The 21,138-nt window shown below is 55.4% G+C and overlaps 1 protein-coding gene and 1 long non-coding RNA gene across 6 annotated transcripts in view, besides 3 other annotated features; both read right to left on the minus strand.

The window, feature by feature from the left end:
- LINC00313 (long intergenic non-protein coding RNA 313) overlaps nucleotides 1-10,053 on the minus strand; it is a 16,130-nt gene extending 6,077 nt beyond the window's left edge. The window contains exons 1-3 of the long non-coding RNA NR_026863.1: nucleotides 9,894-10,053; nucleotides 7,802-7,869; nucleotides 3,342-3,524 (exon numbers count right to left, since the gene is read on the minus strand). This is a non-coding gene — a long non-coding RNA (long intergenic non-protein coding RNA 313). The remainder of the gene's footprint in view (nucleotides 1-3,341; nucleotides 3,525-7,801; nucleotides 7,870-9,893) is intronic.
- HSF2BP (heat shock transcription factor 2 binding protein) overlaps nucleotides 1-21,138 on the minus strand; it is a 214,517-nt gene that overhangs the window by 23,199 nt on the left and 170,180 nt on the right. Inside the window, exon 10 of one of the 5 annotated variants that reach the window (XM_017028268.2) lies at nucleotides 7,975-9,979. The exons of the other annotated variants lie outside the window; for them this stretch is intronic. Within the exon in view, the coding sequence (XP_016883757.1) occupies nucleotides 9,961-9,979 (19 nt within the window). The 3' untranslated portion in view covers nucleotides 7,975-9,960. Of the gene's footprint in view, nucleotides 1-7,974; nucleotides 9,980-21,138 lie in introns of those variants that run through there. 5 annotated transcript variants of the gene reach the window in all.
- Nucleotides 11,219-11,513: an enhancer, noted in NCBI's record as "tiled region #2841; HepG2 Activating DNase matched - State 6:EnhF". NCBI's record gives its function as "activates a minimal TATA promoter and a strong SV40 promoter by Sharpr-MPRA in HepG2 cells {active_cell/tissue: HepG2}" and the evidence as "EXISTENCE:reporter gene assay evidence [ECO:0000049][PMID:27701403]".
- Nucleotides 17,242-18,072: an enhancer, noted in NCBI's record as "H3K4me1 hESC enhancer chr21:44905292-44906122 (GRCh37/hg19 assembly coordinates)". NCBI's record gives its function as "activates a minimal SCP1, AML or CMV promoter by ChIP-STARR-seq in primed H9 embryonic stem cells {active_cell/tissue: H9 hESC(primed)}" and the evidence as "EXISTENCE:reporter gene assay evidence [ECO:0000049][PMID:30033119]".
- Nucleotides 20,666-20,803: a silencer, noted in NCBI's record as "fragment chr21:44908716-44908853 (GRCh37/hg19 assembly coordinates)". NCBI's record gives its function as "represses an EF-1alpha promoter that drives an FKBP-Casp9 reporter gene in an ReSE screen in HepG2 liver carcinoma cells {active_cell/tissue: HepG2}" and the evidence as "EXISTENCE:reporter gene assay evidence [ECO:0000049][PMID:32094911]".

Here is a 21,138-nt window from a genome sequence, read left to right on the forward strand (position 1 = left end):
CTACACATCACACACCTCACACTACATACCTCATACACACCACACACCACACACCCCACATACCTCCCACACACACCATACACACACACTAGATCTCAAACATAACATACACCACATACCTCACACCCCCCCGACACTATACAGCTCACATATACACAACACACACCTACCTTACACACATGCCACACACTCCACATCCCTTACACACAATCAGTATATATCACACATACACAATACATTCCTCACACCCCACATACCTCACACAACCACATACACTACACACACATCGCACACTACCTCACACACATACTGTATACCTCACACATACATTTCACACACACCACACACCTCACACACAGTGCACACACACCACACCCCTCACACGTTTCCTTGCAGAGCCGTATTGTGTGTGTGTGTGGTGTGTTCATGTGTGTACTTGTGTGTATATGGGGTGTGTGGTATGTTCGTGTGTGTACTTGTGTGTATATGGGGTGTGTGGTGTGTATATGTGTGTGGGGTATGTGTGTGTGTGGTGTGTGCGTGTCCTGCTCATGCAGAGTGTCCGCAACCACTTCTCGCCTCCTCTGTCCCACCCGCCCAACCCCCTGGCACTCCTGTGGACTATGACCCCCTGAAGCCACAAACCCCGAGCTGAGCTAAACCACTGCTCGAGGTGCGGGGTGCGCAGCACTCCACAGCCCGTTGCATTTCCACGTCGCAAATCCTCAGGGAGCATTTCCTTGGAGATACAAGAAGTGCATCCACGTGTTCCCAAGTCCTTTCGCTCAGGGAGTGCCGACTGGTGTCGGCCTTCCAGAAATGACTTTCTAAGCACTTCCATCCCACGCAGACCTGCTTCCTGAAGCCCAGCCTGGTCTCTCTGTGCCCGTGTGTCATCCTTGCCCACTCTTACATGCTGCGAGGCTGGCTGTGTCTGCAGCCGCAGCCATCAGAGGCCTGGAGGTAGCAGAAGCAGCTCTGGTGTGCGCTCAAAAGCTCCTTGCGGCTTGCTCCAGCCACTCACTTATCACCGTGTGGAGTAGAGGGTGTGTGTGTGAGTGCGGTGTGTGTGAAGCCACACCAAACTCATTCCCAGCCTAGGGAGTGAGCCTCCTCTGGCCCGGGCTTAACAAACTCTGGTCAATGTGACCCACGCAGACAGCAAGAGGAGGGACGTCCACTCGCACAGACCCACTTGACCTGGGTGCAGCTGACTTCCTAGTCTTCCCTTCTATGAAACGGTGACTTCTGTGGCATGCAGCCCTGCCCTGGCCCGCGGGGACACGCAAGCTTGGGACCCAGGAGAGCAATGACACCGGAAGGGCCAGGCCCTTTGCTGTCTTGGGGGTGCCAGGCCAGAACTCCAAGTCACCAAGCAAAGAGGGCCCCAGAGTCCCCTGTGGTCCCCAAACCTGGCCAAGGTTAGAGTCACCGAGGGGCCTGGACAGATGCCAGGGCCAGCCCAGGCCTGCCACGGCGGGGGAGACTGCCGGGAGGCGAGGCTGGGAGTCTCATCATCAAGCTTCCCGGGGCTCTTGCTGGCATCCCACCCAGGGTTTTAAGGGACATTTGGCAGCAGCTGGACTCCGAGGGAGGGGGTTGGGGGACGACCATGCATTTGTTCTGGGAATGCTCTTGCATGTGCCCGCATTGCCCCTCATGTCCCCATGTCCATGCCAGGTGGACAGCGTGTCCACCAAGGCCCTGACTGCACAGCCAGCTGTGCTCTCGGGAGCATGCCACTCGGCCGGCTCTCCGGCCCTGACTCAGCTCAGGCAGGGGCTCAGCGCCCAGTCTGTGCTTGCAGGTCGTCGCTCAGGCCGGAGCCGAGGAGCTTCGCCAGGCCTGAGATACCTAGACAAGAAGTGCCAGCTCCAGTGCCTGGGGAGGCCAGGCAGGGACGTACGCCACGAGGGATGACGCGGGGTGGAGATGGTGGTGAACGCACAGAGTCATAACGCAGTGGCTTCCCACCTTCGCCATGTGGGAATGTGGCTCCAGGGAACTAGACTGGTCTGTGGCACTTCCTCTTTGAAAGGTAGGCCATTCCTCTAAAAGAGCTGGAGGCGTGGCAGGCCGGCAGCACAGGCACTAACAAGGCAACCAGCCACTGTCAGAGCACACCACACCTCTGTTCTCACCAACCTTTCAACTTACAGAAGAGGAGACGGCCTCGAGACCCAGTGTGCGTGACCAGTTCCACGTGCCACTAGCGCCAGCCGCCTAGAACTCCAAGAGAGGAAAGCAAGAGCTCCCTTGCCATGCGTTTGCTCAGAACTTTAATTTTTTCTCCTCAAGGAAAGTAAAAGAAACAGGTCTTCCTTCCACTGTGCAGGCAGTCAGCGAGCTCCTGCAGGTCCTGCTCTGTAAGCAGAAAGCTGGAGGCTGCACCCCAGATCAAGGCCCTCACACCTCAAAGGTTCTCACGGAGGCCTCGTCTCTGCCCCGCATCTCCAGAATGTGCTTGCTGGTCAGAGAAGAGTCCAGTGTGGCTCAGACAAACACAATCACCTTTCCCAGCAGCCAGGTCCATTCTCTGACAACATCCCACTGGGCACAGCCACACTGACTCCTGCTGCCACTGCAGCCACACCTGGGCCTCTCCTCCCCTGCACCAAGCATGGCAACCCTCTAGGCCATGGCCTCACCTGCCATTACCCCCTGGCCCCATTACCCCTGCCCCCAGCTCCGCATGTCAGGTTTGCTGCCCTGTCCTGCCTAGAACGCTCCGCAGGCTGCTGTCTCTGTACCCCCTCCTGCCGAATAACGACTGTTGGCGGCTCTGTGGGTTCATGTGCTTCGGAATTAAACCACAGGGCCTGCTTCTCATTGCCACTGATGCTCGGCTTCCAAGCCCCCATCGCCACCCACCAATGGCTATTCAGTGTCCGCAATGACAAGAACACCCTGGATACTCCCAGATCGGCTGGCTGTGATGGTGCTCACAGGCCCAGGCAAGAGCCAGCCCCAGATGGGCCCATAGTGCTGCTCTGCTTAGAGCCAATGCCTGCACCAGGCAGCTACCCTGGAGGTGCCCCTGTGAGTGGGCATAGGCAGGTACACCCCCAGCAGTGGCAGGTGCAGCATCTCGGGCAGTCGGGGGGCATCCGCACAGGCCTGGGTGCAAACTGCGGCAAATCCCATGATTCTGCATACAAGAAGGGTGGGGACGTGTGTTTTCCAGGGGAAATGGTCCCTGTCGTGCATCAGATTCTCAAAGGGGTCCAGCACCCAAACAAGTGCAGGGGTCACTGGGGGACACTGGTGCAACAGAAGCAGCCCTGGACTGGGAGTCGGGGCCCCACTGCCGACCAGCTCCACCCTAAAAACTCATCACTCACCCTCGTGTTTCCTAGCAGATAGTGGGAAGAGATGCAGGCCCATCGTGTGCACAGAGGTTCAGAGTGAGCGCACTGTGAGTGGAAACTGTCACGCAAGCCTCGGGCATGACGTCCTTCCCAGACATTCTTTCCCATCGGGCTTCTCGATCCGGGGTGTTGGTGCCTCCCAGGGGTCTGCGGCACCTGTGAAGCAGCAGCAGAGCCACTTCGTCATGGTCCACTGTGATGGTTAGCTCTGTCTCCTCCTGGCTGGGGCTGGGATGCATGACAGCTGGGGAGATATTACTTCTGGGGGATCTGTGAGGGTGCTTCCGGGTGAGATCAGCGTTTGAACTGGCCTCAGGAAGCCAGACGCCCCTCCCGGTGTGGGTGGAATCATTTAACCCAGTGAGGGCCTGACTAGAACAAAAAAGGCAGAGGAAGGGAGAGCTGGCTCTGAGAGCTGAGACTTCATCTCCTCCTGGGATCAGACAGCAGCGCTCAGCTCTCAGGCCTGCTGCCGTGGATGGAATTACACCCCAGGCAGAGGAAGGGAGAGCTGGCTCTCAGAGCTGAGACACCATCTCCTGCTGAGCTCAGGTACTGGCCTCAGCTCTCAGGCCTGCGCCATGGATGGAATTACACCCCAGGCTTTCTTGGTTCTCCCACTTGCAGATGGCAGCTCATGGAATTTCTCAGCCTCTGTAACTGCATGCGCCAATTCCTGTAATAATGCCTCTTCTCTTAGGTATCTATATCCATCTCTGTGTCTGCATCTCCTATAGGCTCTGCTTCGCTGGAGAACCCTGACTAGTACAGGCCATCTTCCTGGGGTACAGGCCATCTTCCTGTGTGGGAAGTCAAGGCAGGAGCAGAAGGTGGCTAAGTGAATATTTAACCACTATGCAACTATATTGAAACATATACACATCAAGGGTGGCAAGGGCAGGCAGGCCACAAGGATGGCTGCCAGAGGCCACCATGGCACTTCCCCCCAATACCAGGAGCAAATGATGGACTCGGCCATACCCTACAACCATCCTGGGGTATGGGCTGGAACCCCCAGGGAGAGGCGGGCAGCAGAAAGCCTGCAGGCCCCCAGCTTTGTACCATGAGAGGTGTGTGGGGCCCAGGTCCAGGTGAGCATCGTGGCTGTCCTCCAGGAGTGGCGCCTGGCCCGCTCGCTGCTCTCTCACTTCATGGTACTTGGGGAGGGGCAGAGAGCACCCTACAGAGACAACACTGGCTTCGGGACGCACCCACAGCCACCCAGGAAAAGCCTTGAGAGCACAATGAGATGGAGACCACAGCCCCCAGGAGAGAAGACAAAACTTGAGATCTGGCTCTGACTGAATTGACTGCCGCCAAAACAATGAACAGAAATCAACATTTTCCAGCAGATTTTAACAAGAATCTACACTACATAGTATTCAAGATGTCCACAATACAATTCAAAATTACTTGACGGGCCGAGCGTGGTGGCTCACGCCTGTAATCCCAGCACTTTGGGAGGCCAAGGCAGGCAGATGATGAGGTCAGGAGTTCAAGACCAGCCTGGCCAACATGGTGAAACCCTGTCTCTACTAAAAATACAAAAATTAGCCAGGTGTGGTGGCGAGTGCCTGTAATCCCAGCTACTCGGGAGGTTGAGGCAGGAGAATCGCTTGAACCTGGGAGGCGGAGGTTGCAGTGAGCTGAGATCCTGCCACTGCCCTCCAGCCTGGGCGACAGAGCAAGACTCCGTCTCGGAAAAAAAAAAAAATTACTTGACATACAAAGAGCCACAAAATTCTCAAGAGAGAGAGAGTCAACAGATGCTCTAGGTGCTGGAATTAGGTCAAGACTGGACAGCACCTGTCACAACTGTGCTCCACATGGTAAAAGAAACCACGAGTGAAGCAGATGGAAGGACAGAAATTCTCAGTAGGTAAATGGAAACTACAAAAAAGAACTAAATAGAAATTTCAGAACTCAAAGATATGATACCTGAGAAATTGTTTTTTTTTAATGGACAGACCTAATAGCAGAATGTCAGTGACAGAGGAAAGAATCTGTGAACTTATACATGGATCAGTAGAAAATTTCCAATCTAGACAATAGAAAGAAAAGTAAGACTGAAGGCCGGGCACGGTGGCTCATGCCTGTAATCCCAGCACTTTGGGAGGCCGAGGTGGGTGGATCACCGGAGGTCATGAGTTCGAGACCAGCCTGGCCAACATGGTGAAACCCTGTCTCTACTAAAAATACAAAAATTAGCTGGGCATGATGGCGGGTGCCTTAATCCCAGCTACTCGGGAGGCTGAGGTGGGAGAATCACTTGAACCTGGGAGGCGAAGGTTGCAGTGAGCTGAGATCACGCCATTGCACTCCAGCCTAGGTGGCAAAGCAAGACTCCATCTCAAAAAAAAAAAAAAGAAAAGAAAAAGAAGACTGAAAAAAATGAGCAGAGTCCAGGGACCTGTGGAATGATATCAAAAGGTCTAACATTCACGTCCTTAGAGGCCCAGAGGAGAGAAGAAAATGGTGCAGAAAAATATTTGAAGAAATAAAAGCAGAAAACTTCCCAAATTTGGGGGAACATATCAATTTACAGTTTTAATGAGCTCAGCAAATCCCAAACAGACTAGACTCAAATAAAACCATGCCTACACACATTAAAAACTGCTAAAACATAAAAACAAAGAGAAAAATCTTGAATGTAGCCAGAGAAAAATGATAGCTTACACACACAGAGGGAGCAGGAATTCAAATGACCCAGGATTTCTCATCAAAACCACAGAGGCCAGCAAATACACTGTGGAGGCTTGAACGCATGCAGCTAAGTGAAAACAGCCAGCCTGGGAAAGGCCACACAACTATACAACTCCAGCTATACAACTCTCGGGAACAGGCAAAACCATGGAGACGGGAAAAAGGTCAGTGGCTGCCAGGGGTTGGGAGGAGGGAGGGATGAATTGGCAGAGTGTGGAGGATTTTTAGGGCAGTGAAACTATTCCGTATGATGTTATAATGATGTCATTATACATGTCATTATATATTTGCCCCAAGCCCAGAATGTACAACACACAGAGTGATCCCTGTTGTAAAAGATGGACGTAGGTAGTAACAATGTATGGATACTGGCTCATCAGCTGTGACCCATGTCCCATGGCATGGCTGTGCTCATAACAGGGAAGGAAGCTGTGGACAGTGTGGGGGAGGCGGGTGCGGGAATTCTCTGTACTTCCTGCTCAGTTTTTCTGCAAACCTAAATCTACTTCTTAAAACTCTACTAACTAAACAGAAATTAGGTGCAAAATAAGCAGAGAACTTTTATTTTGTTTTGTTTTTTGAGATAGGGTCTTGCTCTGTCGCCTAGGCTGGAGTGTAGTGGCGTCATCTCAGCTCACCGCAACCTCTGCATCCCAGGTTCAAGCGATTCTCCTGGCTCAGCCTTCGGAATAGCTGGGATTATAGGTGTGAGCCACCACACCTGGCTAATTGTTGTATTTTTAGTAGAGATGGGTTCTCACCATGTCGGCCAGGCTGGTCTCAAACTCCTGACCTCAAGTGATCCACCCGCCTCAGCCTCCCAAAGTTCTGGGATTACAGGCATAAGCCACTGCACCCCACTAGCATAGAAATTTTTAAAACAAACAAACAAAAAAAACTGCTTAAACAAAACAGGGAGGCCAGAAGACGATGGAACAATACCTTTTTTTTTCTTTTTTTTTTTAAATTATACTTTAAGTTCTAGGGTACTTGTGCAGAACATGCAGGTTTGCTACGTATGTACACATGCGCCATGCTGGTGTGCTGCACGAAGAATGAAAGGAGAAGAAGTCACCACAGAATCCTACATCCAGTGGAGACAGCCTTCAGGAATAGAAGCAAAATAAAGACATTCTCAAGTAAAGGAACTAGAAGAGAATTGTCACCAGCAAGGGAAAAGACCCCAGGGGGAAACACAGCACTTCTAGAATGAAGAAAGAGAAACAGAAATAGCGGATACCTGGGTAAATAGTTTTTAAACTATTTTTTCTTTTAAGTCCTTTAAAATATGTATGACTATTGAAAGCAAAAAATATACCATCATCTTGGCCAGGTGTGGTGGCTCATGCCTGTAATCCCAGCACTTTGGGAGGCTGAGGCGGGCAGATCACTTGAGCTCAGGAGTTCGAGACCAGCCTGGCCAACATGGTGAGACCCCCTCTCTACTAAAATTACAAAAATTAGCTGGGCGTCGTGACGCGTGCCTGTAATCCCAGCTACTCAGGAGGCTGAGGCAGGAGAATCGCTTGAACCCGGGAGGCAGAGGTTGCAGTGAGCCGAGAGTGTGCCATTGCACTCCAGCCTGGGTGACAGAGCAAGACTCTGTCTAAAAAAAAATACACACACAGACACATACACACACACACACAGACACACACACACACACACACACACACCCCATCATCTGGTGAGATTTTTAATGTTTGCAGACATGATACATGACAACTCACAGGCAGGGTCTAAGTGCTTCCAGCGCTTCCACACTTCACTCGAAGTCACAAAGCAGGATCTGCAGAAACTGTGAAAGGCTAGGTTTAGTATATTGTAATCTCTAAGCAATCACTTAGAAAAGATATACAGTAAAATAAAACTGAAAAGAGATTTAGCCAAAAAAGACAACAGATACATTAAAATGGAAAATGGTAAAATATTAAAATAAGAAAAGGGAGCAGAAGGGACAATCAAAACCAACCGTAAGGCCAGACCTCAATGTTACAGTTCACAACAATAGCACATATGCATCATAACCATCCCAGGACAGACCACAGTCGCGTATCAAGAGCGGCAGGACATAAGCCACCAGGAGCAGGAGGAAGGCAGAGAAGCCATGGTGAAGACATGAAGAGACAGCCACCTTCACCCCTAACCCTGTACCTGTGGGGTCAAGCATGACATCTGAGCCTCTGTCCCTGGACTAGGGTAAACAAGGGGATCTCTGGGCCCAGGAAGGCTGGGGGCAGGGGCTGTGAGGAGCTGAGGGGCCTGCAGGCCACGCTGCCCTGGCACCCCATCTGGCACCTCTAGGTGGGTTCCCTCTCACTCCCGGTCAGGGAGCAGCATCTGACAAAACACTCTGCTGCAGGCCTCGGTCTCCCCCTCTGCTGAACGTCAGGCGGGTGCTGTCTGGGGCCTCCAGATGCTCCAAGGGGAAGACACGGCGCTGGAAGGCTCTGGGCGGTGGAGGGCTGTACAGGAGGGGCCATGGGCCTCCTGGAACTCCCCTGGGAATGCTAGAAGGGGGCAGAGACAGCTCAGATGAAGCCCTGAGAGATTCCAATGGCATCCCAGGCCCCTCTCCCATCTCTCTCCCTCCCCCATCATCACTGCCTCTGAGGCCAGGGTACCCCAGGCTCTCCAACCCCACATATGGAGGCGGGCAGGCTCAGCTTCTGTCCAGCACCAGAGCAGTTGGAGAATGAAGTGGAACCCAAACGTGGCTCCGTCCCCCAGGGAGACAAACCTGCAGACACCCTCCTGAGACTGGGACAGGGGGACGGGGAAGCCTGGCCCAGACAGAAGCACGAATTGGTGGCGTGGGCCTGGTGTTGAGAACAGGGTCCAACATCACAACCCCGCTCGGGAGGCCAGCGTCCGGGGCCTCTGCCAGCTCTGTCCCAGACGGAATTTGTTCTCACTCTGGACACCCCCAGGGGACCCCTGTGCTCACAGGCAGATCCAGGGGGCAGGAGGGGGGCCTTCCCATGCCAAGTGCAGTTGGATGATGAACGACACCCCCAAAAGATTTGTCCAGGTCCTAACCCGAGGAACTGGAGAATGGGACCTGATTTAGAAAAGGGGTCTTTGCAGATAGATGGGATTAAGTTAAGGATTTTGAGATGAAAGCCTCCTGGATGAGGGTGGACTTGAGATCCAAGGACACGTTCTGAGAAGGGGGAAAGGTGCAGAGACACAGTCACGTGAGACGGAGGCAGAGAACTGGAGCGATGCGGACACAAGCCAAGGACTGCCTGGGCCACCGGAAGCTAGGAGCGGCAGGAAGGGTTTTCTCCTGGAGCCTTCAGCAGGAGGTGGCCCTGCCGACACCTTGATTTTGAAGTCTGGCCCCAGGACTCAGAGAGTCCACTTCTGCTGCATGAGGCCCCCCGCATGCAGTATCCTGTCATGGCAGCCCCTGCCTCATGCGGCCTGGATCTCATGAGGGGTCCACTCCCCTCGTCTCCCCGGTGGGGCGCGGCATCTTCATGCTGCCCTCTAAGGACAAGCGCATGAGAGGCCAGCCTCCCCCACCAGCAGGACAGAATGCACGAGGCCTTTACCAGGCCACACTGGCGCCTGGCGTGGCTAGGACAGCAGTGCTGCTGCCCCGCTGTGGGGCCGAAAGAAGCCAGGGATGAGGGTGCGGGCGCATCTGTGGGTCCCGGAGGCTCCAGACCCCCAGGCCAACTGCACAGCCTGCAGGCAGCACTGCCTGGCCAGCCCTGTCATCCCTCTGTCCGTACATCTAACCACTTTCTCTCTGGGGCCGCCCCGCCCAGAGTCCCTTTCCTGCCGGAGGCTGGGGCTTTCCTGGCAGCTACTCACCACTCTCCCGGTGTTTGTTCATCGAGGTTTCCCGCTGCTGACGGTTGTTTTGACTTGCTCAGAGTTGTCATGCACCTTTGCCCTGGCTATGTAAGGAGAAGGAGCCTTTATGCAATCCAGGAAGCCCGCGTCAGGCCCAGGAGGTGCGCCAGCTCTCTAGGATGCTGGCCAAGGTCCCCCGCACTTGGCCGGATCCAGGCAGGGAGTGACGGACCTGCTGGCATCCTCCTGACCCCGGTTTCCAGCTCTCCCCTCCCCCTGTCGACAACCCAGGGTCAGAGGACAGGCAGCCACCTGGCCAAGGGGCAGGCCCCCTTGTGCCCTGGATGGTGATGGCCTCTGGGGCCAGAAAGAACAAGGTGGTGAGGGGACCATGGAAGACGGCCTGGACTTTAGTGAGGGTGGATGGCTTGCTGGGCGGGTTCCTCAGGGGCAGAGGCTGGGACAGGATTCAGGGTTACATGGCATGTGACCCCTGGCCACCCCAGGAGAAGAGAGGGAAGGAGCAGGGGTCAGGACAAAGGGGCAGGTGCCCCCTGGGGGACTCAGGGGGCAGGCACCCATGGGGTACTGGGGAGGCTGCAGAGACACCTGCAGAGTTGCCCCCGCCGGCAGGAGACACTTGGCTACTTATCCCCCACCTGCCGTCAGTCGCTGTCAAGGGGCTCCCAGGGACCCTGACTGCCCAGCATGTCTGGCCTGGCTGGAGGGAGTCCCCAGGTAGCGCTGAGCCATTGTACAGGCTGGAGGGACGAGGCTGTTACTGGCGCCCAGGCTTGGGGCCATGCTGCAGCAGCCTGGGAGAGGCAGAGAGAGAGAGACACCGGGCCTTCCCCATGGCAGAGCCGGCCACTAGCTGAGCCTGGCTGAGAGGCGGTAAGGGGGCTGGGCCTGGCCCTGGAGCGAGCTCTACGAGGGGGTCTGGGGCTCACAGACAGGCCAGCACCATGCCTCCAAGAGTCAGAGAAGTGAGGCATCAGACAGGCTGTGGCCCAGTCCCACAGAAGAGGTGCCGTCTTGAGCCTCCAGTGTGCTCTGCACGGCCTGGAGGCCCGGACACGTTTTGGGTGGAGGGTGGGGGTCTCAGCCTGGGCCAGGCTCCCCATCTCACCCCTAAGAGTGGCATCGGCCCAGGGTCCGGCCAGGCCCTACTGATGTGTTCTCAGGGGCCAGGACATCAGTGCAACAGGGCAGCCGCTTGCGACAGGACCCGGCCGACTGTCCCCGTCCCCAGAGCACTTTTGGCTGCATCTGGGAGCCGCATCCCCTGTTTGTTCTCTGGAACCAGGAAGCCAGGGCTTTCCACTTCCTGGCTGCTGCAGAGGCCATGCTCTTTTTACTCTCCAAATAGGAAAGCTCCTGCAAGCCTCCTGCCAAGTGAGTGTGGAGAGCTGATCTCAGTGTGGCTGAGGTTAATGGACAGGAAGTGCCATTACCTAAATGGGCCAATAAGCTGATGAGAAGCCCGAGAAGAAAGCCTTTCCAGGCCTTGACCCAGAGAGCCGGCAGGAAAGCGGCAGGCGTCGCGGCCCCAGCAGGGAAGACCAGCTCCTGAGCTCGAGCCCCAGCTCCATCTGCAGCCTGGCCTCACCGCAGTGCCCTCGGACCTCTGCTCACCCTTCTCTGGCCTCCTCTGGCCTCCTCAGGGCTCCTGCACACACACCTGTGGGTCTACAAGGGGCAAAAAAGATCCCGGAACATCGGAGCAAGAGCCCCCCACCCGACCCCGTGTGCAAGCCCCCATTTACGTGTTGCACTCCCAGGGGCCCCTGAAGCCCTCCCTCTCGGCCTCAAAATTCCCATTGCAGACATGGTCCAGCAAGGCCAGCTGTCTGGCTTTCCGGCCGACGATCAAAACAGCAAGTCGGAATGATGATGGGCTGATGGACGCGGGCCACCGACAACCAGGTGACCACTGAGAGCAAGGAAGAAGCCACACAGATGCAAGGCCCCCAAAGTGGGAAACCCCGTGGCAGGGGCCAGGGGCACCTAAATAACAGACGTCCCACGGTGTCACCTGGGCCCGGTACAGGATGGCGGCTAGCAAGGCCGTGTCACCAGGAGGCTGAGTCACGGGGAGGCTGCGCCACTGGGAGGCTGCGCAGACTGTTGAAGGGGGCACAGGAACGTGGAATTGGTGTTGGACCAAATGAAACTGCCAACACCTGCCCTCAAAACTGGGGAGTTCCCAGTGGCTGAACCGAGGATTTCCACAATGGGGGGCACTGTTCTAAAAAGAGAAGGTTGAGGGCCTAGACCGTTGAGTTGTAATCATTCACAAAACCTTTTCCATGGAATTCTGCAGCTGGCCTGGGAAGGCTGTGCACGGTGGCCACACGGTGCTGCGGTGAAGTCTAAGGGGCTGTTCAACGTAGCACCTACATTTGGGGAATTACAGATGCCACAGCCTGCAGGGAGGCACCCACAACTGTCTCCCCCAAGGTAAAGACGACTGTCCTTCACTTACGACACACCGGGTTCCTGCACAGCGATGGCCTGGAGCATCCAGAGAAGGGTCCCTGCTCTCAGAGCCGGCCAGGCGGGCTGTGTACACGGCCACGGAAAGCACCCTTGGGGGAGGGTGTTGCTGTGATTTCTGCACCCCCACTTCCTCACGTCCTGCAACCTAGCTAGAATCTGCAATCAAAAGCTACCCAGCTTTGGAAGGCTGAGTGGGATCACTTAAGGCCAGGAGTTTGAGTCCAGCCTGGGCAACACAGCAAGTTCCCGTCTCTGAAAAAAAAAAAAAAATTAGGCAGGCGTGGTGGTGTGTCGCTGTGGTCCCAGCTCCTCAGGAGGCTGAGGTGGGAGGATCACTTGAACCCTGGAGTTCAAGGTTGCAGTGAGCCATGATCGCACCACTGAAGGTCAGCCTGGGCAACAGAGTAAGACTCTATCCCAAACGGAATTTGTTCTCACTCTGGACACCCCCAGGGGCACCCTGTGTTCACAGGCAGATCCAGGGGGCGGGAGTGAGACCTTGCCATGCCTGTCTCAAAAAAAAAAAAGCCATCAAGGATGCTTTGGGTGTCGGCCGCCGCAGGCCCCCATCTCTCTGCATCTAGCCACATCACTTGGCCCTCAGAATGGAGCAGGAATGCGAGTTCCAGGCCCAAGAGCCACAGGATGGCGGGAGCTCTCACAAAATGAGCGTGGTCTTGCTAGCGGGGCACAGGCTGTCTCCAGTGGACAGGCCACTCCCACACAGGCATGGAAGTGCAGGACGCGCTCTTCCCGTGGCCTAAGGCCCCTTGTTTCTGGAAGGATGGGTGAAAGCAGACACTACCTGTGCCAACTGGAAAGCTCTCACAACGAGATGAAACACCCGCAGGGCCGTGCCCTGCCTGCAGCAGCTCCGGCCTCGCTGTGCGTTTTCAGGGGACCTTGTGCTGCGGGTGCAACTGTTAGGGTGACCGAGGGAGGGAGGGACATGGGCAGATGGGCAGCCAGGGTACCCTCGGGAGAGGCGTGTGGCTCCGAGCTGCCGACGCACCAGCAGGAACAGGCTCCAAAGGACCCTCAGGAGCGATGACATAAAGACCCTCCCCCGCTGCAGGCACTGCCAAACATTCTGGGTGAGCTCCAGCCCAACCCTCCCACTGTTTGGATGGGGACCCCTGAGGCCCAGGAGTCCACCCAGGTCCCCGTGGTCTCCACGGGGACCAGGGGAGCCAGGCTTCATGCCTGGCCACAGCCCTTGCTGGGTAGGGGAGGTGGGTCTGACTTCCAGGGGAGCATGGTGGGGGCAGCAGGGCCTGCTCGTGGGTCCCTGCCGGGGCCAGAGCGAGGCCACTGGGTGGTGGCGTGGTTCCTAGCTCAGGCCCAGCAGCCCAGGCCTCAACACAGCCCAGAATCTCCTGCAGGCCTAATTTCTGGAGTCTGGCCAGGCACGGTGGCTCACGTCTGTAATCCCAGCACTTTGGGAGGCCAAGGCAGGTGGATCCAAGGTCAGGAGTTCGAGACCAGCCTGACCAACATGGTGAAACCCCATCTCTACTAAAAATATAAAAATTAGCCGGGCGTGGTGGTGGGTGCCTGTAATCCCAGCTACTTAGGAGGCTAAGGCAGGAGAATCGCTTGAATCCAGGAGGTGGAGGCTGTAGTGAGCCAAGACTGCACCATTGCACTCCAGCCTGGGTGACAGAGAGAGACTCTGTCTCAAAATAAATAAATAAATAAGTAAATTTATTTATTTCTGGAGTCTTCATCTTACAAAGACGCAGGGGCCGGAGCTGCCCCTCACAAAAGGCAAGAATGGGCTGCGTGTCAGAGTCAGGCCCAGACCAGGGACAGCAAAGCCACTGGCAGACAGGCGAGGATGAGGACAAGGCCCTGCTGCCGGACACAGTGTGTTGTCTGCACTGAAGGGGGGCCAGCGAGTGCGCAGATGGCAGCCCAGACAGGGAGGAGCCCCTAGCACAGGCCTCTCCTGGGCTCCAGGCACTTCCAGAAGAGGAACAGTTAGGAGAAGGCAGGTAAAGGGGTGGGGCCAGGGCCAGGAGGGGCAGGGTGCCTGCTGTGGCTCTGAAGTTACTGCAGATGCCCTCAGGGGCACAGCGGGGTGACTCCACCTTCCACAGTGACTCTGCAAGATGGACGCCCCTGCCCTATTTCTCAGGCGGGAAATGGGTTCCAGCAGTATCCAGACCACACCCTTGGAAGGGCAGAACCAGGAGCCCCCGTGCCGGGGGGCTTCATAGCCACGGCCTCTCACTGCCCTACCAGCAGGGTCACTGCCCCATCACCAGGAGCCTCTCAAGGGGTGTCCCCACGCACACAGCAGAAAATCCCAAGGACTGGCAACTGCTTGAGCCTCCCGAAGTCCTGGGATTACAGGCGTGAGCCACCACGTCCGGCCCTGCCAGGGCTTTCGGTTGCCGTGTGTGCACGTCTCTGTGTGTGCACATGCATGCACAGGTGTTAAATCTCAGGCCGGGGATGGTGGCTCACACCTGTAATCCCAGCACTTTGGGAGGCCAAGGTTGGCGGATCACTTGAGGCCAAGAGTTCGAGACCATCTGACCAACATGGCGAAACCCCATCTCTACTGAAAATATGAAAATCAGCTGGGCATGGTGGCACGCACCTGTAGTAGTCCCAGATACTCAGGAGACTGAGGCACAAGAATTGCTTAAACCTGGGAGGTGGAGGTTGCAGTGAGCGGAAATGGTGCCACTGCACTCCAGCCTGGGCAACAGGGCGAGACTTTGTTTAAAAAAAAAAAAGAAAGAAATTGTCATCTCTGTCTCTCTGTTTTGCATTCTGGTCAAATTCCGTATTTCTCTCTTCTATTTCACTAATTCTCTTTTCAACTGTGTACTTCATCCTATCCCATCTTCTGAGCCTTTTGTCTCGGTGACTGTATTTTTCATTTCCAGGATGTGCCATTTTCATAACTATCTGTTCTTGTCTTGAATCTGCCATTCAGTTTTTGTAATGTATTTACTTTAATGGCTGTGGTCCTTTTTCTTATCTCTTTGGTAGATTAAGTCTTTATTAGATTCCTCCATAAACTTTACTCCATCTGGAATGAATTCATGTTCTGGGTATGAATTTTGTTGGTTGTTTCTTTTTTAATTTCAATGAAATTAGGATAACGTAAAGTTAGCAATTTAAAAGTGTGCAATTTAGTGGCATTTAATACACTCAGGATGTTGTGTACCCATAACTGTTTCTTAACATGCAAAATCCCGTGCTTCTGAATTGGGGCTTGCAGACTCATTTTTAAAAGTTTAGTCATTGGATCAGGATATGGGAAATCAATTCTCTGAAAGTCAGTTCACAAAATGACCTTGATTGGTCAGTTTGCTGAAAATCAATTCTCTAAACGATACATTTTCCAAGACTTCAGACAGAAACTTTAAACCTTGTCTGGGCAGTTGGCCGCAGCCATTTGGCAACACAGGCAGGAGCAGGGGCTGAAAATTCCAGCAAAATACGTGAGCCAGGGTTAAGGGCACATTCAGAAGAAAAGACATTCAGTCGAGCTGGACCAATGCATATCAGGAAAAGTGGCCGCCATAAAACAGCGAGAAGCCTTTGGAGGCCATTTTTTTATTCACTAACTAGATCACTCCGTGAAGTCGGCTCGGGTCCACCCAGGTCTAGGCAAACAGAGTTGTAGCAAATTGATCTAATTCTGAAGACAAAGTGGCAAGTAGACGTCGAGGGCACGGTGGAGTCCTGGCTTTCCACAAAATTCTGCTAGCTGTGTGACCTCAGGCAAGTCGCTGAGCCTCTCTGTACCTCAGTTTGCCCCTCAGGGTTCCTGTAAGGATTAAATGAGGTCGCCTAGGTGTTGGCGGAGGTTAGTAACCTCCTGGTGGGAGAGCTCTCCAGGCTGTCCAGGGCCTGCACCATCAGCCCTCAGGGCCCTTCCTGCTGCCCTCACAAGCTGATGCCACTCTGGGCCCTGGGTTTCAGGAGAAAATGACCTCTGTAGAAGCTCCCCCTGCCCAGCCCTGGGGAGGAGGCAAGCCAGGGGAGCTCTCGCGAAAGCCCCCAGGAGCACAGCTCTCCTCCCTTCCTTCTCCCTGATCGGTGGACCTATGCAGGGACATGACAGCAGCGTGTCACCCACCCTGGCCACCACTCCCTCCTGGCAGCCCCAGACTGACAGTCTCTGCCTTTCCTTCTTTCTAGTGGCAGCGTCTCTAAAGCAGCTTCTCTTTCGCCTGTTTCCGACCTGACCCCATCACCGGCTGCCCGAGGCCACCCTGCAATCAGCCATATAGGCATTCCCAAAGCCCAGTGAACCCCTGATAGTACGGTGTCCGCCAGGAATGAGGTGGGCACTGGAAATCCATGCATGATAGGAACCAGAAGAGGGTTGGCCCTTCACCCTCCCCACCTTCTGGCCCCCAGACTGGTAGCTTGCCCCCGGGGCCTCCTCTGGGCTAGGGTCTGCCCACCAATGCTTGCTCCTGTGACAGGCAACAGCAACTCCAGATGTCCCATCACAGCTGCCCACCGGACACAGATATGGGGACACCAAGTGCGCAGGGGGCAAAGTCATCTGCGTTGTGCTCAGCTGCCGCCGCCACACAACAGCACCAGAAGAGCTCCCGCCGGGTGTGCTCACACCACACGCTCTCACTGCACACATGCTGGGTTGGTGCCCCGTCCGCTGAAGGGACATGCCACCGAGCATGCCGGGTGCCACCGAGCTGCTGGCATGTTCGGTGCCTGCTGGCTGAACCTCGGAGTTGCGTGGCGGTGGCTTTGCTTCATCACTGTCTGGTTCACCGTGCTCTAAGTTCGGGAGCCCTGCGAGCAGTGATGCGTGGCCACGTCTACAGCCTCGCTGGCCTGTCACGTTCCCAGGTCAGGCTCTCAGCTCCAGCGGGAATCTCCCATTCCCCTACTGTCTTAGTCCATTCTGGCTGCTATAGCAAAATCCCACAGGCGGGCGGCTTCTCAGCAGCAGAAACCTATTTCTCACAGTCCTGCAGGCTGGAAGTCCCAGACCAGGTGCCCGCGTGGCCGGGCTCTGGCGAGGGCCCACCTGCGGCTTGCCCATGAGCGTCTTCTCACTGTGTCCTCACACGTGGAAGGAGCAAGGGATCTCTCCTTCCTAAGGGCACTCATCCCAGCATGAGGGCTCTGTCCTTCAGGCCTAATCACCTCCCAAAGGCCCCACCTCCTAATGCCACTGCTTTGGGGGTGAGGATTTCCACCTGAGTTTTGGGGGAACATGAGCGTCCAGCCCTCAGCAGCTGTTACTGTGACCCGCAAACCTGCCGCCCCCCTGCTCTTGCCCAGCGATCCACAGGCACCCCAGCCCTTCCCATAGCAGGGACAGGAAAGGATTCAGATCCCACGAGGAAAGCCCAGTTCACACATCCAGCTCAGCCCTGCATGTCCCACGTCCTGCTGGGAGCTAGTGGTGTTCATCATAACTCAGCCCCAAGGCAGCCAGCAGCACAGGTGCCACCAACATACAGGGAAATCTGCATCACTTGGTGCCTGTCTGGTGTTCAGTTTCTAGGTGGCTGGTTCTACCCCTGCCATGCACGGGTTCCCACCCCCGCAGCTGCCTCTTCTATCCCCATGATCAGGGGTGGCCAGGCCCCCCCTCCCCTTCTTGGTGGAGCCAGCACTTCCTGCAGGTTCTGGACAACTGGCTGAGACTGGCCTGGGTGCTCAGGGTGCCAGGACTGCTCAGGCCACGCCACACCCAGGCTGGGAGCTGCAGCCGCCACAACAGCACCTCCCAGCTGCCCTCTGCTGCTGCAGCCAACATCACAATGTCATGTCACAGCAGGTGACACAAACCCCACACAGGCACAGTCCACGCAGCCCCAGTCCCATCTCATCTCTCCTTCTCTGTCCCTGCTCCCAGCCTATTCAGCCTGAAAACCCACCCCCTCCCTGGCAGAGTCAGCTGGCCCCGGGCCCACTAGGGGGACCAGCACTGATGCTGCACACTGCCAAGTCACCCAGCAGACATGAGGGCAGGAGAGCAGGCTGGGCAGGACCACCCACTGACCTGTCCCCCTGCCTCCTGGGGCTTCCACGTCCCCACCTATGCATGGGATCTGCGGGGGCTGCACCCACAGGCTCGCTGTGAGCAGGATGAGCTCCATGCGTGGTGAGGGGTCTCCACATGTTCCTGTTATTGCGGATACAGTGACAAGCCCTGAATTTCAAGCGCTCCCATCCAGCAGGAGCGGGGCAGAGAGTGGGGGCTGGGGCTTCCATGAGGGGCCGTCTCACCAAGCCCTAGGCTCGGGCACCAGAATCACACTCTGTACTGGGCTCCCTGTTTTGAGGCACTCCAGGGCTTCCCAGGGCCCTTCCAGGTGCCCTCCTGCCAAGGGTCCAGGGGTCTCAGGTTCCCTGCGCTTGCCTGTCTGGGAAGAAGCTGAGCTGATGGACCCCGCACCCCACAATACCACTGTCCTGGGGCTTTAACACTTAAGAGACCAGCACTCTCCCCACCGTTTTACTTTCTGAACCTTTCAAACACATGGCAATTTATTTAGCCAGTTGTGCAGTGAAGACCCATGCACTCCCAGACACTCCCATGCACAGCGCACTACACTTGCCTAGCCCAGGTCCATCCACCCATCTTACTTCTGATGCATTTCAAAGTAAGTTATTGCAGCATTTCTCACAGAAAAAAACAAATCTAAAGATCCATCACTAGGCAAGACTAGTGAATAAACCACAGCATATCCATACAAGGGAATATTATGTTCCATTTAAGAGTGAGGTATGGGGCTGGGGGTGGTGGCTCACGCCTGTAATCCCAGCACTTTGGGAGGCTGAGGTGGGTGGATCACCTGAGGTCAGGAGTTCAAGACAAGCCTGGCCAACAGGGCGAAATCCTGTCTCTACTAAAAATACAAACACTGGACAGGCATGGTGGCATGTGCCTGTAGTCCCAGCTACTCAGGAGGCTGAGGCAGGAGAATCGCCTGAACCAGGAAGGCAGAGGTTGCAGTGAGCCAAAATGGCACCACTGCACTCCAGCCTGAGTGACAGAGCAAGGCTCCAACTCAAAAAAAAAAAAAAAAAAAAAAAGTGAGGTACGTTCCCAAGATACATGGTCAAGTGAATATGGAAAAGTACAGAACCGTGAACAGACAAAGCTACCATCTGTGCAAACATCTACACAAAGATCCTGCCTAAGCCGCAGAAAGTGGAGGCGGCAATCCCTGGGGCCGGCCTCGGCCAGGAGGGGTCCAGGTCCTCCCACAAATAACCCAACCTCCCGTCCTTCAGAGGCACAGCCCTTGGAGGTGCCTGGTGGAACTGAGCATGGCTGCTCTCCGTGGGAACCGCTCAGCAACTCAGCTGCACAGACTCCTTTCTTCCCACCTCTCCATCCCACTGCTCCCTCCTGTCCCCTCGGGCTTCCTGGGTCACCTCCAGGTAATCCACCTGCACCCAAGCCCCTGCCTCGGCTCTGCCTTCAGGGGAACCCAAACCAAGACACATCTCTTTTACATCAAATGCAGTGTGTTTTTCTGCTGATAGACATGGAAAGGCCCTCAGGGGAAACACAAGAATCTGGCGACAATGACCGCCTTTGGAGAGACACCAGTAGGAGACACCAGTAGGACGTTTACTACTCACTCTTCCTTTAGTTGCTTCTGTGCCTTCTGAAACTTGTTCCCTGGGCATATCTAACTTACTCAAAAACTTACTCTTTCATAAAAGACATCAACTCCTAGACGTCTGCGCGAGAGAAGCGGAAACACAAGTGCCGTGACGTGTTCAGCCACTTGATTCCCAATAGCCACAACGTGGGCACCCCAGCATCCATCAGCTGCTGGGCAGATGCACAGGACACGCATACGATGAAACCTGTTCGGCCATGGAAAGGAGGGAGGCTCTGACTCACGCCACAGCACAGACAAGCCTCAGGACATGCTGCTCAGTGAGAGGCCACATCCTGTGACTCTGCTGCTGGGAAATATTCAGAGCAGGCGCATCCACAGGGACAGGAGCTATGCCAGGGCTGCCAGGGCCTGGGACAGGAACGGGATGAGCCGTGAAGGGGCACACAGGGTCTATCTGGAAGGATGCAATGTTCCGACGGTGGATCGTGCTGGTGGCTGCATGATGCAGTGACAACTGCTGAATCGTACACCTGAGACTTGGGTAGCATGCAAACTCCACCTCAGTAAAGTTTTTTAAAAACAACAACAAAAAGGTGACTGACACCTCAGAACCTCCAAGTGGGGGCAGCGGCGGGCACTGCCTGCTCCTGCTGGCGGGAACTGGGTGGGCTGAGCCCCCGCAGGCAGTCCTCCCGGGAAGGCCTGGCTGCCAATGCCTGGACACAGCTATCTGGGTGACCGGGCTCCACGACATTTGCATAGGATGCAGCAGGGTAGCCACAGCACGCCCCTTTCTCAATCTCATTTCTGCAACTCAAATAAGAAAATCTTAAACAAATAAACCAACAAAAGGAGTGACACACGGAGCTCCTGGCCGGGGTGCAGGGCTGTCTTGAGCCCCCAAGGATCTCTGTGCAGACAGGCTCTTGGCCCACACCACTGCCCAATCCTCCTTCTGATGGGCTGTGACCCAGGGACACTTCTGTAGGCATCGTCCTGCACGGGTGGAATGGGAGGGCTGAGGCCAGGCCAGGCAGCGTCCTGTACACTCAGGAAGACCCCATGACTTCGCAGGGGGTGGCAAGGACCCAGGAAATGTCCATCCCCCATTTTATCCACAACAACACTGAGGAGCCCTCAGGTCCTGGCTTTTACACCCCTCCCCCACGGGCCCATTG

Source organism: Homo sapiens, chromosome 21 (assembly GCF_000001405.40).
Source record: "Homo sapiens chromosome 21, GRCh38.p14 Primary Assembly".
NCBI lineage: Eukaryota > Metazoa > Chordata > Mammalia > Primates > Hominidae > Homo > Homo sapiens.